At 38.0% G+C, this 17925-nt stretch overlaps 1 protein-coding gene across 15 annotated transcripts in view, besides 1 other annotated feature; it reads right to left on the bottom strand.

Annotated features, from left to right (window-relative positions):
• The window catches only part of KIF14 (kinesin family member 14), a 69255-nt gene continuing 52515 nt past the window's right edge, over positions 1186–17925 (bottom strand). For 14 of the 15 annotated variants that reach the window (XM_047436198.1, XM_047436190.1, XM_011510232.3 and 11 more), the window contains 7 exons: positions 15134–15358; positions 14758–14942; positions 10411–10569; positions 9019–9141; positions 5069–5143; positions 4157–4295; positions 1186–3456 (listed from right to left, as the gene is read on the bottom strand). In XM_047436198.1, the coding sequence (XP_047292154.1) occupies positions 3077–3456; positions 4157–4295; positions 5069–5143; positions 9019–9141; positions 10411–10569; positions 14758–14942; positions 15134–15358 (1286 nt within the window). In that variant the 3' untranslated portion in view covers positions 1186–3076. The remainder of the gene's footprint in view (positions 3457–4156; positions 4296–5068; positions 5144–9018; positions 9142–10410; positions 10570–14757; positions 14943–15133; positions 15359–17925) is intronic. The other variant, NM_014875.3, reaches the window with a different exon arrangement.
• Positions 8664–8713: a silencer, noted in NCBI's record as "silent region_1673". NCBI's record gives its function as "represses an Ori minimal core promoter by ATAC-STARR-seq in GM12878 lymphoblastoid cells {active_cell/tissue: GM12878}" and the evidence as "EXISTENCE:reporter gene assay evidence [ECO:0000049][PMID:35858748]".

Below are 17925 nucleotides of genomic sequence, written 5' to 3' on the forward strand. Positions count from 1 at the left end.
AGTTGGGCCTTTCAAAAGTCCATGAGGCAATCTAATCTTTTTCAGGTTGCTATGGCTTAACACCAACAGCATACCTAGCATTAAGTAAATAATTATTAGAATGAATGAATGAACCTAGCTATCAGATACTAAAACAAACTAAATGGCCATGCTCCACATCTAAAAATCCCATAAACTAATATTGGCTAAAGGAAGAAAGATGGAAAAGCTCAGTCTTGATTATATCATGCAATGACTGTAACTTGCAAAATCCAGAGCACAAACTTACCTGATGAATCATGCACAGGAAGCTGGGCACATAAGCTTTTTTTTAACTGAACCAAACTACTGATACCTTTTCCCCTCACCTGTGATTAATTCTTACTTTCCATATTTAGGGAAAACCTTGAAATGCTTATTGGCACATAGTTAGGCTCTGTAAACTCAAGTATGCTAGTTAGCTAACTAGACAAAACAGCCTTTTGCTAAAACTTTCAGATGGACTGACTCCATGGAGGACACATAGCACATTATACCTTAAGAGCAGTAAGATAATGTTTAGTTATCTTTATTGTCCATTTATTATCATGGAACAAAATGACGGCAGATATATTTTCAGGTATGCCATAAAGGACTGCAATACAATTTGGCACATTGGCAGAATGTTATAAATGGCATATGCCTGCACCAAGTGTGATCTTATATACATAACAAGGGTTTTGTAGCTGGTAATGAAAAGGACAGAAAATAAATTCACTAACAGTCTACTACTTGCCAGCAGTTATTCCCACATTTTTCTCACTAAGTGCTCATAGATAGATAGTCCATGAGGTGGGTATTACTTTTCTTTCTGCAGATGAAGGAATGGGAGTGAAGACAGTAACATGTCTAAGGTCATGTAGTTACTAAGCAGTCCAGCTGGGATTCACACTCCAAACGTGTGAAAAATATGTCAAACTCCAAAGCTCATGCTCTTTACACATACCACATGGTGATAAATCTATTCCAGGCATAATCAACTAAAGAGAGGCAGAACAATGTTAAAAAAAAATAGTTGTTATGGCAATATTAATATTTGTTTAGTGTTTCCTAATTATTAACTTGATTTGCAACACTAGCCTAGCTATTATCAAGGCAGAGCTATTCTGAATGAAGAGTAAAATAAACAAAGAAAATCAGTAAAATAAAAAAGCATAGACCACGAAGCAATTCTAATGCTGAAAAGATTTATTAAAGGCATTCTCTTTATAACATTTCTTGTCAGTGCACATAATTCCAATAGCAAATATTTTTTCACCATTCATTCAAATACAGTATCACAATGTGTTTAGTATAAATATGTATACAAAATTTTATAAAGACACTAAAAAGTTTCTGACCAATTAAGTCATGAGTTTACAAAGCACAAACTGAAGATTAAATACTGAATATTAAGATGAAAACTACTATACAGGTACTTTAGGAAGTTCTTCAAAGAAGTGCACCTCCCGGGAAATCCTCATATGTACATCTACACTCCAGCAAACTGCACAGGCAAAGTGCTACTTGCCAGATTATTGACTAATAAAAACACATATAGAGCTTCAGAAAGAATACAAGGTCAAATGCCAAAAATAAAAAAAGAAATGAAAGCAAATGTGCTACATTGTACCATTTTAAAGAGCTTGAAAACACCACACAAGGTTCACTAATACTGTTCTGACTGCAATGACTGTATTTACTTACAATCTCTTCCTAACAAGGAAACTATCAGATTTATTCATGGTACGAATGGCCAATTTCAACTAGTTATGCCAAATGTACAAGTAGTATCTGTAAATTCGAAAAGGGCAAATGAAAGGATCAGGTTATTTAAATGAATTCTTCTTTTTTTTTCTTCTTTTTTTTTAAATGAATTATTCTTTAGGAACTGCTCAATATCACCCAAGCATAGTTACAAAGTATCTCTTCAAATTATACATACTCTTGAGGTCAAAAACGTCAAACTATTTCCGTAATGTAAGATCCCACAAGTAGAATATTATCTTTATTACTTGATCATAAATAAAGGTTTTTTTTTAAAGCTGTGGAAAATAAGGGTCTTTAATCTTCATCAAATCATATACAAATTATTTCATTATACCTTTAACAAAACAAGCATTATCAAGAGAAGGTCCAGCCTCTGATCTCCTAATCTCATCCAACAGTTTAGTATAATTCTGGCAACATTTTATTAGTTTTAAATAATATTCATACAGCCCCCATTATGAAACACAGATAACAGGGTAAACTACTGTGCCAGCAAGCCATATTATTAATATATAATTATACTATATTTAGGTAGCTACTTATAATTTGGAAAGAAACAGGAAGCTACACCCTTGAACATACTATTCAAAATGGCAACCAGTTAACCCTTTGAGAAAAGAATTTTTGATTAACAATGCAAGTTAAGTTGTCTTAGTTAAACTTGTACAGGCCATTTCACCATAAACATCCCAGCTGTCTGAGGAGAGAGAAGGCATAGGCACAAAGGTAACTGATTGTTCAGGTTTCCACTCATGAGAAAATAACCCTTTATAAACGACTAATGAACCAACTACAGACAGTATACCAATGTTAAACACTTTAAAGATAAAAATATATTTTATTTATTTATTTATTTATTTATTTATTTATTTATTTATTTATTTTGACTAAGTCTCGTTCTGTTGCTCAGACTGGAGTAAAGTGGCATGATCTTGGCTCACTGCAACCTCTGCCTCTCAGGTTCAAGCGATCCTCCTGCCTCAGCCCCCCTAGTAGCTGGGATTACAGGCACGCGCCACCATGCCCAGCAAATTTTTGTATTTTTAGTAGAGACGGGGTTTCGCCATGTTGGCCAGGCCGGTCTCAAACTCCTGACCTTGTGATCTGCCCGCCTCCCAAAGTGCTGGGATTACAGGCGTGAGCCACTGTGTCTGGCCTTTGATAAATAGATATTTTAAAGATAAAAAGACATGGACTTTTTTGAAATATCTGTGCTGATTTCTCTTAAACTCTCCTGCATAAAGAAAATTACCGAGCAAGTGTTCTTTTTCTTTCATGGGTGGTCATAAAAGTGCCTACACATCAGTATTCACACCCACTGAATCCTACTGGGTGTGCATTCCTCTGAGCTCACTGCTGGGGATGAGCCATGGAGCTCATAGACACGCTTTGGTACACCTTTATTCTTACTGCCGTCAATCCCGCTTGATTTAGATTGTTGGTGTTCTTCTTTGGTATTTTGATTATAAGTTTCCCAGGGTTTCAACAAATCAGGGCTTTCTTCAGATTCAAAACAAAAGAGGAGAGACTTAGCTAGAGATTCTAGTTCCTGGTGGACAATGTGAGTTACTCTACTCTCATAGCTGCCAACAGAAGTAGAAGGCACACTGAAGTCACTGTAAAAATCACTGGCCAAGTTGCGAATACTTTCAACACAAGTCTGGAGAAGATTTATATCACTATGGCATCCTATATGCAAGAGAGGAGGGAAAAGTTAATTAGCCTTTTCAGTTTTCATCAGGTATTTATGACTTTTATAGACTCTAGATATCTTTTAAGTCAAAGTGACCCTATCAAAACAATTCCAAACTACTTAAGATTAGTCAACTAAAGTGTTTATTTGCTAGATGAGCACTTGGTTTTTCAGGATCTAATTATTTAGGTAGAAGTACTGATACATACATTAAGTGGGAATTTAATTATAAATACAAGTTCCTATATGGGTAACTAATATCAGTGAAGTAGCATTGGGTAGGCTTCAGTTAATGACTAAAATAATGAAAAGGTTAGAAATAAAAAGGAAAGATGTCAGCCGGGGACTGTGGCTCATGCCTGTAATCCCAGCACTTTGGGAGGCCAAGGTGGGTGAATTGTTTGAGGTCAGGAGTTCGAGACCAGCCTGGCCAACATGGTGAAACCCCATCTCTACTAAAAATACAAAAATTATCCAGGCATGGTGGCATATGCCTGTAATCCCAGCTACTTGGGAGGCTGAGGCAGGAGAATCGCTTGAACCCAGGAGTCGGAGGTTGCAGTGAGCTGAAATCGAGCCACTGCACTCCAGCCTGAGTGACAGAGCGAGACTCCATCTCAAAAAAAAAAAGGAAAGATGTCTAAGGTTCCTTAAAATATAAAATTCTGATTATAAACTCCATTTGGAGAATCATACCTTTCAGTGCAGAAATAATAATTTCAATAGCTTTCTCTAAGCAATGTTTTAACTTTAAGAATTCTGGAGCACGATTAACCATCCTCTTGAAATCTTGGTATTCAAAGTTTTCTTCTTGTACTTGCCTTCTGAAACTTTTCTGTATAAATAAAGTTAATATTTAAAATAATACATTAACAGGCTCAATGGCAGTAAGGCTCAGTCAATATGATTTTAATTGCCAGAATCTTCTCTTTAAGAAAGAGAGTTTAATTTCCTCACCAGTGCTTAACTCTATTTCTATAAGCAAGACCAAAATACAATAGTAATTACTGTTTTCAAAAGAAATCAGAATTTTCAATTAATTTTCAAAGTCTGTCATCCTATTACATGAGAATGGAATAAAGTAACAGTGCCATTTATTATTCAATACTTTAAAAGATACATTTATTTCATTTTTAAGAGCTCAACTTTATAATAGTTCTCATTTATTTAAATAAAAATTTTCAAGCCATAGCAATTACTCTCCTTTTTAACACATTGATCATATACTTAATTTTTCTCTTTACCTGTGACATGGGAATAATCTATCTAATTCAACTGTATTTTAAAATCTTTGAGCACAATGATTATTAAACACAATTTTTTAGCCTATAATGACCCATCCAAGCAAAAGCTGACAGTTATTAAACCAGTAGCAATAAGAAACAGACATATTAATAAATTTCTATACAATCCTTTATCCACTACTAGAACTAGTAAGTTATGACACACATAAAAAAGACAAAGAGCTATCTTACATGCTACAATTAGACATATACAAAAGAGTTGTCTCTGGCTAAGGATAAACACTGAAATAAAAATATCTACATTTGAACCAAGTGAAATGATAAAAAATAAGCAAAATTAAAATCAATTTAAAGCTTCTCTTACAATTTTCGATTCAGCAAAGATGTTTTCAAGAGATCTAATCAATCCCATGGCATTAGTTTTCATTTCTTTGGTAACCTATAGAGAATGTTAAAATATTTTATTATACTTTATTATTCAGAAGTACAAAAATCATAGAATTGCATGGGACCAGACTTTTAAAAAATTCTAGTCTAGAAGCCCAAAGATTGGAGCTCTATTTCTGGGATTGCAATTAAATAGCTTGAGAGTACTTAAATCATACATGTGAAATTTCTTCAAAAATAAATTGCACATTGACTTCTTTCCAAATAAGTTTATTTCACTTTTAAGAGTTCAACTTTATAATCTCTCTCATTTATTTTATTTACATAAAAAATTTCAAGCTATAGCAATTACTCTCCTTTTAAACACATTGATCATATACTTAGTCTGTATTTTCTATTTACCTGTGACATGGGAAAATAATCAGTCTAATTCACCTGTATTCATTAATAATTTCTTTCAAAATAAATTGCACATTGATTTCTATATTAAATATGGACACCCTCTAATATTTGTTATAACAAATTTTGTGTTATACTTAAATATTTATAGATACAAAATTTCTAAATTTCCCTTGGAAGGGGGTAAGTAACATATCAAGCAAATACTATACTCTAAAAACTTTACAAATGTTTTGTTATTTGATTCTCCATTATAGTCCTATGCTGCCCATTGTATACCTCATTTTATAGGTAAGGAAACAGACCTTGGTTCCTAACTCCTAAGACTGAGAACTAGAGTGGGAGCCCACATCTAAATTCTAAGCCTTTGCTTTTATTCTATCCAATGCTGCCCCCTAAGGTGCTTTCCTGCTCAATTTCTGCCAGGGGATTCTTTTTCAGTGTTTAATTGGCTTTACTCACAGAGAGCTTCCCTAGCCCTAATTCAGATTTGCTCTATGTGGTTTAAAAAAAAACAAAATTCCAAAAGAATATCCAAATTATTTTTCCTTCCTGACTCCAGCTTTAAAATTGTAGCTCCATGCCTTTTATGTTTCAGCTCATTTTCTATTTCTTTGGATATTTTATTCTTCTATAGGTTCTTAAAGGAGTTTTAACTTACAAGAATAGATAAACTAAAACCCTACCATGAACAACAAAGTACAGGTTTGTCATACTATAGAAAGAAAATGAGAGAAAGGAGGGTATGCAGATAGGGTCAATTGTATACAGGATGGGCCTGGCCCTTTTGCTGCTTATTTCCTCAAAACAATACCAAGGCTAACACCTGCACCTACTTCAACAGCTTACTAAACACATTCCCACATATTATTTCATCTATATTTTTCATTAATTTATTCTATACCCTTCTGCACTTATTGCCAGCAGAAATTCTTTGCAATAGTGATAGACTGCAAAAGTGGTATCACTTTGCAAATATGGTGAAGTGTTTTAGTGATAAATGGTGCTGCTGCTGAGCAAAACCAAATTTGAGACGTCAGTGGTGGTCTGAATGAGCCTTTGACAGCCCAATATATCCCTTTCTTCAAAGTTGCACTATGGAACTGAAATCAGCCTCATGCCTATTTGAGCGCAAGCTTGATTTAGTGACAATATGAGCTCCTAAATTTAGTAACAATGTGTTTTTACTTTTATTTTTTATTTATTTATTTATTTATTTTTGAGACAGAGTCTTGCTCTGTTGCCAGGCTGGAGTGCAGTGGCACGATCTTGGCTCACTGCAACATCCACCTCCCAGGTTCAAGCGATTCTCCTGCCTCAGCCTCCTGAGTAGCTGGGACTACAGATGTGCACCACCACGCTCAGCTAATTTTTGTATTTTTAGTAGACACGGGGTTTCACCAAGTTGGCCAGGATGGTCTCGATCTCTTGATCTCGTGATCCGCCCACCTTGGCCTCCCAAAGTGCTGGGATGACAGGCATGAGCCACCGCGCCCAGCCGTGTTTTTATTTTTTAAAACAAAAAAACACAAAGTGAGAGAGGCAGACATATGTTGAGAAAAAGAGAACACGTGCAAGTAAGATGAATGACTTAAGATTTGCCAGGCACTATATTTTTAGCATTTTCGTATACGTTGTTTCTTCATCTCATATGATCCTCAGAACAATTTTATGAAATAAGTATGATCATCCTCATTTAAAAATGGAACGACTGAGGCTCAGGTAAGTTGTTCAAGGCTACATAGGAAGTAGGAGAGCAGCTTAATGTTCCATGTCTTTCCCCTGTTCTGAGATGGAGTTTTTCTGGGCAGAGAGAAATCTGTATAACCCTGTAGTATGAGCAAAGGGATGGAGAATCTCTGTGGCTTACACAGTTTCACCTCAGATTCTAAGATGAGCTAGAAGTACATTAATACCAAAGTTTTTCTAAACAACAACAACAAAAAAACTAACTTATTCCATGCCTTCCCAGAAACAACCACCCAGAGGGACAGAAGCCAATAGTCCTCCACATGATCTACTTTTCTAGATCAATCAGTATATACATAAATGAGGAGACATCCTAGTAGCTAAGATCTCAGGAACCTAAATGTCCCCAGGTAGCACTGCCCCAGCCACCTGACTCCAACAAGAGCAATGGAATGGACAGGGGTGGTTTTTGTTTGTTTGTTTGAGACAAGGTCTTGCTCTGTCGCCCAGGCTGATATGCAGTGGTGCAATCACAGCTCACTGCAGACTCAAACTCCTGGGCTCAAGTGATACTCCTGCCTCAGCCTCCGGAGTAGCTGGTACTACAGATGCATGCCACCATGTCTGGCTAATTTCTGTATTTTTTGTAGAGACAAGGTCTCACTATGATTCCCAGGCTGGTTTCATATTCTGGGCTCAAGCTGTCTTCCTGCCTTGGCCTTCCAAAGTGCTGGGATTACAGGCATGAGCTACCATCCCTGGCCAAGGATGGTTTTAATATGTTGTTACAAGACTCTAAAACAGACAAGTCTCTGAAATTCAGTCTCATAAGAATTTGAATTTGTATCTTCCTAATCCCCACTTCACTAACAGTAATTGTCAATAAAGAAAATTAATGCATGAACAATAGTTTTAAAAACTTATTTATGTAGCATGTTGAGTTTTGGAGTCAGGCAGAATATAAAATCCTGGCTCAGGGCTTAATAGTTGGGTAATTAGGCAAAATACTCTAATTCAATGAAATGAAGAATATAAATTCCTACCTTGAAAAATGATATGAATATGAAATATGATATTCATAGGGCTTTTTCTTACTGACAAAGTACAAACCCATTATAGAAATGGCTAAGATTTACCACTGTTACATGTAAAGCACCTAGTCCAGTAACTGTCAGAGGAAATTAATCAGTAAATAGTTTACAGCCTGTGATGTAGGTATGCTTACATGACAGGGTCAGAGCATTAAGTGACTTGCTAAATGATAAGTGGAAAGTGATAGAACCAGGTTTCAAATACATGTCTTCTAATATTAAAACCCAGATCTTTCCTAAGGTACTAAGTAATGTTAGCTGGAGGATGGGAGGACACATATTTTAGGAAATCACTGAAATGCTTATTGGTTCTGTATCTTGATATGAAATATCTTATGTGAATGCCCCAGAAAAATATTTAGTTCAAGATACTGAATCAATAAATGTTACTAATAGTTTCCATTCTTAGAAGAGGAGAAGACTAAACAAAGCTAAGGAAGAAAATGACAACCAGAAAGCGAACACTAGGTGTCACTACCACACTCCACTCTCTGCTTAGGAGTTTACAGACTGAATTCTTGAAAATAGCTGCAACAGGACCAAGCAAAATATTAACAATAGAGGCTGCAGTGACTCAAGAATAACTTGGGAAAATATCACCATAAGATCATGATGTCAGCCTCTTCAGTGAAAAATAACTCGAAACAAATTAAAACATATGAATTTATAGAAATCTAATTTGTTGACTGAAAAAATCAACTTTATATATTATTTAGTACTGTACAGAATATTCTTTTATTCATCTTACCTCATTTTTTGTACACTGCCTAAAGAGTTCATGCTGAAGTTCTTTTGCTTTTTCCAGTCCAGAATCTAATAAAATCTTCATTCCTAAGCCTACACCATCACAAACAGCATCCATGAATTCCTCCTAGAAAAAGAATTTAAGCATTAACTAGAAAATTTAGGTTTTATGTATTTTAATTTATTTAAATTTAGGTTTTATATATTTTAAATTATCAAGTAATTAAGTTATATTTTCTGCTTACTTTAGGACTATAATACATCCCAAGTTTATTAAGTTCAACTAAAGCTAGAATAAGAACTAACAGTCTGTGGTCTGTAAAGAAATAAAATTAGCAAATCTGTAATTTAGTATCCCATATATAACATATTGCAAAGAATGTTTATCATCTTTTAAGCAGGGCTCTATATTGCTAGAACACAGTAACATTCTTTTTTTTTTTTTTGAAATGGAGTTTCGCTCATGTTGCCCAGGCTGGAGTGAAATAGCACGATCTTGGCTCACTGCAACCTCCACCTTCCTGGTTCAAGTTATTCTCCTATCTCAGCCTCCTGAGTAGCTGGGATTACAGGCACCTGCCACCACACTCAGCTAATTTTTATATCTTTAGTAGAGACGGGGTTTCGCCATGTTGGCCAAGCTGGTCTTGAACTGCTGACCTCAGGTGATCCACCAGCCTTGGCCTCCCAAAGTGTTGGGATTACAGGTGTGAGCCACCGCCCCCAGCCAGAACACAGCAACATTCTAATATAATACAATGTTTTCAATAGCATAACTAGTGAAAGCAAGCAGATACAAATTATCTGGTATTACAACGTTTTTTCATGTGTTGATTGGCTGAGAAAACCCTCCACGGTGGATGACTAGCATCAAATTAAGGATCTGAAAGGTAAAATAAGGTTTGCAAAATAATCCAATATATTTAAAAGTTTTTTGGTTGTTTGGTTTTGTTGGGTTTTTTTTGAGATGGAGCCTTACTCTGTCACCCAGGCTGGAGTGCACTGGCGCAATCTCAGCTCAACGCAACCTCTGTCTCCTGGGTTCAAGTGATTCTCCTGCCTCAGCCTCCTGAGTAGCTGGGATTACAGGCGTGGGCCACCATGACTGGCTAACTTTTGTATTTTCAGTAGAGACGGGTGTTTCGCCTATTGGCCAGGCTGATCTCGAACTCCTGACCTCAAGTGATCCACCTGCCTCGGCCTCCCAAAGTGCTGGGATTACAGGCATAAGCCACCACACCCGGCCCAAACAGTTTTAAATCTTATTGCAAAACTACTAAAAGTACAAGCTATTTTGAAAACTTAAAAAGAACTTGCCATGTTTAGTACTGTACTATTATCAAAAGTCTAATGTTCCCTCAGATGAAGTCTGTCTGAACTAACATTGCTAAATTACCTGGACACTGGCAGCTTTATTGTTACCGTTTTCTAGAAAATGTAGCTTGCTCCCTTTCAGAACTGCTAACTGCCCCACATACTTTACAGCTTGTTGTACAATTTGGATTGCATTCTTTTGAGCCTCTTTTATCATTGATGAAATATCCAAACAGCATCCCTGTAAGATAAAAATGGACAAGTGTATCAGATACATGAGATTATAACAGGTGGTAAAGAAAAGATAAGGGCCGGGCACAGCGGCTCACGCCTGTAATTCCAGCAGTTTGGGAGGCCGAGGCGGGTGGATCGCCTGAGGTCAGGAGTTCAAGATCAGCCTGGCCAACATGGTAAAACCCTATCTCTACTAAAAATACAAAAATTAGTCAGGCATAGTGGCACACGCCTATATCCTAGCTACTCAGTAGGCTGAAGCATGAGAATTGCTTGAACCCAGGAGGCAGAGGTTGCAGTGAGCTGAGATCGTGCTACTGCACTCCAGCCGGGGTGACAGAGTAAGACTCCATCTTAAAAAAAAAAAAAAAGAAAAAGAAAAATGTCCCGGACACGGTGGCTCATGCCTGTAATCTCAGCACTTTCGGAGGCCGAGGCAGGCAGATCACAAGGTCAGGAGTTTGAGGCCAGCCTGGTCAATATGGTGAAACCCCATCTCTACTAAAAACACAAAAATTAGCCAGGCGTGGTGGCGGGCGCCTGTAGTCCCAGCTGCTCAGGAGGCTGAGGCAGGAGAATCACTTGAACCTGGGAGGTGGAGATTGCAGTGAGCCGAGATCGCACCACTGCACTCCAGCCTGGGTGACAGAGCGAGAGACTCTGTCTCACTGATTTTCAAAAGAAAAGAGAAGAAAAAAAAAAAAAAGAAAAGAAAAATCATCTGGAGAAAATAAATTCTGCATTTATTGATATAGTGATCTCACTTCATAAATGTCTCAGTCAGAACCAGAAAACATCTGTGGCTGCTAAAGGTGATAAAATGAGTAAGATATAGTCTCCACCCTCAAAGACCTTACACACTAATAGGAGACATAAGTAAGTACAAAATTAACTACATATAAGACAGAATTAATAAGTAAAAGCCAAAAGAAAGAAAAAGAAGGGTGGCTCTTTTGCATCTGAACTTTTCCTGTTCTGATAACCATCTGACAGTTAATAAAGATATGATTTTCTCAAGGAAAAAGAAATCGAGAGGGAGAGGAAGGGGAAGCAAAAGGGATGGAAAAAACCCCAAACACCTTCAAACAAAAGACTTCCCACATGCACTCAGAGTACACATATAAAAAAGGAATGAGGAAGCTTCTCTTGAGCTTTTCTTCTTTCTGTTACCTGCCCCCTGTAGTGTCTCTTCAAAATATTTCTCCTGGCCTGCTTTGGGGAATATGCTAATTGTATTGCTACAAGAAAAGGATTCTCAAACCATACTTAGTAGAAAGTGTAGTCACTAAATTCAGGTTTGCTAGCTTAACACAAGTCTGTCCTGAGCTTAATCTAACTTCCCCTCCAAGTCGCCTGGTCTCTCCATCCTTGATTCCTTGTATAAGATTTCCCACAGGGCTATGAGTTGAAACCCACAAGTTCAGTTCAAAGTGTTCTTCTCAGAAAATGAAAAGAAGGAAAGAAACTACACACCAGTTACTCTAAGAGAGACATTCTTATAACATTAATTCATCTGATCCTCACAGCAATCCTGCCCAGTAGGCATTTCCAGCTTTATTTTCCTGTGAGAAACAGGAGACTCAAAAATTTAAGCAGTTTGCCCAAGGACGCACAACTAATTTAGCATGGGTTCAAACATCAGTTTTTCAAGTGCCAGTAGTGAGTTTTTGTTTTGTGTGTGTTCTCCCACTATTCTAGTACTGCCTCTAAAATCTGAGAGCCAACTAAGCACTGACCATCCTTCAACAAGCTTCCTTTTCTAGGCTCAAACTTAAGTCAGACCCTTCGCTTCTGGCTCTCTAGCTTTGCTCTCTGGCCAATCCTACCTTTCATTTTCATGATTCTATGCTGTCAGAAATTCTCCTTCATCTACTATTTCATCCACACCTGTTTGCAGTCCACCCACCCCGCCACCCCTTGTTTTAGTCATCCTATTTCCTCATTACCTATATCCAAAGTCATCCTTCATCCCATATGAATTTATAATTAATTCAATAACAAGTATCCAACCAAACATCTATCACATAATGGTGCCTTGTGAAAAAAGACACCCACTGTCCTCTACCTTCTTAGAGCTAACTGTCCATTGAGATGTACAGGCTTATAAATAGTATGTTATATTAAAAGTCATAACGGGTGAAGTTTAGGGTTATCAGAGAAGCAAATAAGACAGGTGCCTAACCAAGTCTTGGGGAGACCTAGAAAATCCTCCTGAGGGAGAACAACGGACATTAAAAACAATCATCTGATTTCAAGTTTACTAGTTAGATCAGTTAAAGATTTCCAAATCCCAGCTAGTAAATAGCCCATTCAGGAAGTATTTGACACAACAAAAATTCTACTGCAATAATAGAATGTGGAAAGTCTTTCGGTGGGCACTATAACATAAAATTTGTTCAATTGTTCTATAACATTTTATTACATGGTCTAATTATCCTTTTTTAAAAGTGAAATCTAACCCTCTTAGTATTTTCTTTTTTTAAATAGTTTACTTTTTGTTATTATTATTGAGACATGGTCTCACTCTGTCATCCAGGCTGGAATGCAGTGGTGCAATCATGGCTCACTGTAGCTTCGAACTCCTGGGCTCAAGCAATCCTCCCACCTCAGCCTCCCAAGTAGCTGGGACCACAGGTACATGCCACCAAAAAATCAGCTGGCTGATTTTTTTTATGTTTTTAGAGACAAAGTATCTAACAAGTTGGATATTTGTTATTATTCACTATGTTGCCCAGGCTGGTCTCAAAGTCCCAGGCTTAACTGATCCTCCTGCCTCAGCCTCCCAAAGTCCTAGTATTATAGGCATGAGCCACTGTACTCGGCCATTAATTTCTTATCTGCTCCTTTTGCATATCAAGGAATTTTTAAGAAGGAATTTGTTAATATGGTAGATGACTAAGTATTCTCCAATATCAATTTTCCACTTCTTCCACAGATCCCTTGATTTCTGGCTTGGCACATAGGTGTCCAGAATTTTTTTAAAAAATACATTTCCTCATGATACTTGCAGCTAGATGTAGTCAAATGATAAAATTCTAGCCAGATATATAAATAGATGTGGCATATGGTGATTTCCAGAAACCTCCCTTAAAAGAAGGCAAACTTCAGCCGGGCGCAGTGGCTCATGCCTGTAATCCCAGCACTTTGGGAAGCTGAGGGGGGCGGATCACCTGAGGTCAGGAGTTCGAGACTAGCCTGGCCAACATGGTGAAACCCCATCTCTACTAAAAATACAAAAATTAGCCGAGCATGGTGGTGAGTGCCTGTAATCCTAGCTACTCGAGAGGCTGAGGCAGGAGAATCGCTTGAACCCAGGAGCAGAGGGGCAGTGAGCCAAGATCACGCCACTGCACTCCAACCTGGGTGACAAGAGTGAGACTCCAGCTCAAAAAAAAAAAAAAAAAAAGGCAAACTTTGCCCTATCCTTCTCACCACTCCTTCCACCCTGCTGTGCTGAGCTCAGATGGGGCTCCTCCATAGTGGGTCATGAAATCAGGGGCTACACTTTGGGCATGGCGGATGGGACCAATGGGAGGAGCCTGGATCCTGAGGACTCTGTGGATCAGAGCCACTGTGTCTACATCTAGATTTTATGTGAGAGAGAATAAGCTTTCATCTTACTTCTTCTTACAGCCAAACCTAATCTTATCTGATACAAGATAAGCAGGAAAACAAAATTATTTCCTTGTCTCTATGTCAGCAGAATTGTGGCCAATTCAGTCTGAGTTGAAATCCAATCCCATACCCAGAGAAAGACTCTGTCTCTCTTCCCAGTATCCCTTATTGAGGGCCAGCATGGTATAATGGCAGAGCATGAACTGGGCCCAAGACTGCCTGGGTCCAAATCCAACTCAGTCATTTACTAGTTAGGTAACATTGGATGGTATATTTATTTTCCCTGTGCCTCCATTTCCTCATCTACAAGATGGTGATAACAACAGTGCCCACTGCTGGGGTTGTTATAAGGATTAAATGAGTTAATATTTGTAAATCACTTAGAACTACTCATACATAGAGAGCCATGTAAGTCTTTGTTTAACAAATCAATTACAGACAACCACAGTCTCAGAACTTCAAAACAGAATGTACTTTTGAAAATCATACAGAGCTAATTTTGGGGAAGATATAGACAGTAGAAAGCCAATAAATAATTATTAAATGAATCCTTCAAATGATAATAAGCAAATCAATTTACCTGCAAAAATAACTGTAAGTAGCCTCCCAGTTTTTTAACTTCTTGTCTCAACTCATCCTCAAGTCTTGCTATGTTGGTACAAGGCAGTAAATCACTCAGCCAGTGTTTCATTAGCACTACTAGCTGCTCAAAAGCACATGCAGTCTGAATAGTAAGTGACTGGATTGCTCGATCAGAAGAAAACACTTTGAAAGAAGAAGAAAAATTACTGAATGAAATATTATCCAAATAAAAGAACTCATATATGATCATCATTAAAACATTTAACACAGTTAAAAGATGCATGCCAGATGTGCCAAATAATCACTCAAAACAAAGTGCAATGTGCAGAAAATAATCATTTATGTGAGTTAACAAAAGCAGTGAGATTGCTTACAGTTATCTTGACTTTCTTCATCTTGTTCTTCATGAGCCTTGGAAATGGCAAATAGCCCATTATAAATTTTAAGAAAACTATTAATTAGGCTGTCTGCTATAGTTCTTTCTTCATCATAACTCTGTCCAAAAAAATCTAACGAAGAACCAATCAATTCTTTGCAAATTCCAGGAAGAAAGGACTCTGCTGAATTTGAGTAAATAGTGCTTGATTTGTCCATTAAACCTACATCAACAGAAAATAGCCATTTTAAGCTTGTTTTCAGGAATAATACTTTCTTTTTTAAAAAAAGGGATCCTTACTTTATGTACTTCTGCATTACTGAAATGTATTACAACAACAAAGCATTTTTGTGTTCACTGTGGAATTAGAAAAACAAAACTATTAGTATATATAACATCGTATGCTATGTTGTACTTGTAAGTATATCTTCCATGCTATACTTGTGTATGTTGATTTCCAGGGTGCTCCATAATGCTAATTCTGCAGAAACTACCCCTCTGCTGCTTGCAAATATTACTCGTATACTATTGCTCTTCCAAAAATGTTCAGGCATAATACTTTCAAACAAATGTTTTATTGCAAGCATATTATAGGATCACTGATCAATAAATTCAAAGTAGGCTATACTTATTTCAATTCAGCCTCATTTCTATATGCTAAAGTGAAAACACAATTCCATTCACGGATCAATTAACCTCTCAACCGCATCAATCCATAGATTTAGTAGCTCCCTGACTATACTATGAGACAATAGAGAATCCAAATATCCCACGTAACCACTGGGTTAATCTCTTTCTTTACTCTATGGTAGGAATTAATTTTCTTTTCTTTCTTTCTTTTTTTTTTTTTAAGAGACAGGGTTGGGCCAGGCACGGTGGCTCATGCCTGTAATCCCAGCACTTTGGGAGGCCGAGGCAGGCAGATCACGAGGTCAGGAGATCGGGACCATCCTGGCTAACGTGGTGAAACCCCATCTCTATTAAAAATACAAAAAAATTAGCTGGGCGTGGTGGCACACGCCTGTAGTTCCAGCTACCCGGGAGGCTGAGGCAGGAGAATTGCTTGAAGCCAGGAGGCGGAGGTTACAGTGAGCCGATATGGCACCACTGCACTCCAGCCTGGGCAACAGAACAAGACTCTGTCTCAAAAAAAAAAAAGAGAGACAGACAGGGTCTTGCTCTGTTGCCCAGGCTGGAATGCAGTGGTTACTCACAAGCGTGATCATAGCACACTGAGCCTCAAACTCCTGGGCTCAAGCAATCCCTTGGCCTCAGCGTCCACAGTAGGTGGGACAACAAGCATGTACCACTATGTCTGGTGGGATTAATTTTCCCTAAAGAACTGTAATTGATGAAAACAATGACAGTTACATAAAATTAGAAGTATAATTGGATTCATAAACTGGAAAAGTAGGCAATGATAAACTACATTAAAAGTAGTGTCTCAGCCGGGCACAGTGGCTCATGCCTGTAATCCCAGCACTTTGGGAGGCCAAGGTGGGTGGATCACCTGAGGCCAGGAGTTCAAGACCAGCCTGGCCAACACGGTGAAACCCCGTCTCTACTAAAAATGAAAAATCAGCCAGGCATGGTGGTGGGCGCCTGTAATTCCAGCTACCTGGGACGCTGAGGCAGGAGAATCACTTGAACCTGGGAGGAGGTTGCAGTGAGCCGAGATCGCGCCATTGCACTCCAGCCTGGGCAAAAAGAGCGAAACTCTGTCCTCAAAAAAAAAAAAACCATAATGTCTCAGTACTTCTACCTTACAATAGTTTCTCCTTGAGGTATACTACAATCAAGATAGGCTAAAACCGGCCGGGCACGGTGGCTCACGCCTATAATCCCAGCATTTTGGGAGGCTGAGGCAGGTGGATCACGAGGTCAGGAGATCGAGACCATCCTGGCTAACACAGTGAAACCCCGTCTCTACTAAAAATATTTTTAAAAAATTAGCCGGGCCTGGTGGCAGGCGCCTGTAGCCCCAGCTACTCGGGAGGTTGAGGCAGGAGAATGGCGTGAACCCGGGAGGCGCAGCTGAGATTGCGCCACTGCACTCCAGCCTGGGAGACAGAGCGAGACTCCGTCTAAAAAAAAAAAAAAAAGGCTAAAACCAACTGATTATCTACAGTTAATACAGCACATCTGTGAGGGATGGATTTTCTAAGCACTGTCTAAACCAGAAATAAATGAGAAGCTTGACTCATTCAGAGCCTCTGGAAATAACTTTATCCTGGAGTCCTAATATATTGAGTATAATTATTCTTATTTAATAGACAAGATTAAGTTTTCTGGTCTACTTCATAGGTGCTTAAAAGCAGCAAACTAAAAGGAGGTAGAATAAAGGCATAGGATGAGGAATATTAAAAAACTAGAACAAAGGTAAGAGTTTGGTTTGTAAAGAGAAAAAAAAAAAGCTACAAAACCCAAAGCTACAGTAGGGTAACGATGACTCAATATCATTATGATGATAATGACTATAGTAGAGTCATCGAGAAGAGTTAACTATATATTCTCTATTTAAGAAGATAATTGTATTAATGCATTCTAAAATCCAACAGAAACATTTTAGAAAGACCTGCAAAAATACAGTAAAATATATGGCCCTGAATTTTAGAAGTTAAGATACTTGCTCAACTTCCCAAAGCTAGAAAGTGCTAGACACTGGGGTACAGCCCCTCACCCCCAGGCCTGGTCCCCCTTCCACCACTCACAGCTGCCCAGACGGGGTCCTACTAAGTTCACACGTGGGTTTCCATTACTGTCTTTGAAAACCACAAATAAGCAAAGACC

This window comes from Homo sapiens, chromosome 1 (assembly GCF_000001405.40).
Source record: "Homo sapiens chromosome 1, GRCh38.p14 Primary Assembly".
NCBI classification, from domain to species: Eukaryota; Metazoa; Chordata; class Mammalia; order Primates; family Hominidae; genus Homo; species Homo sapiens.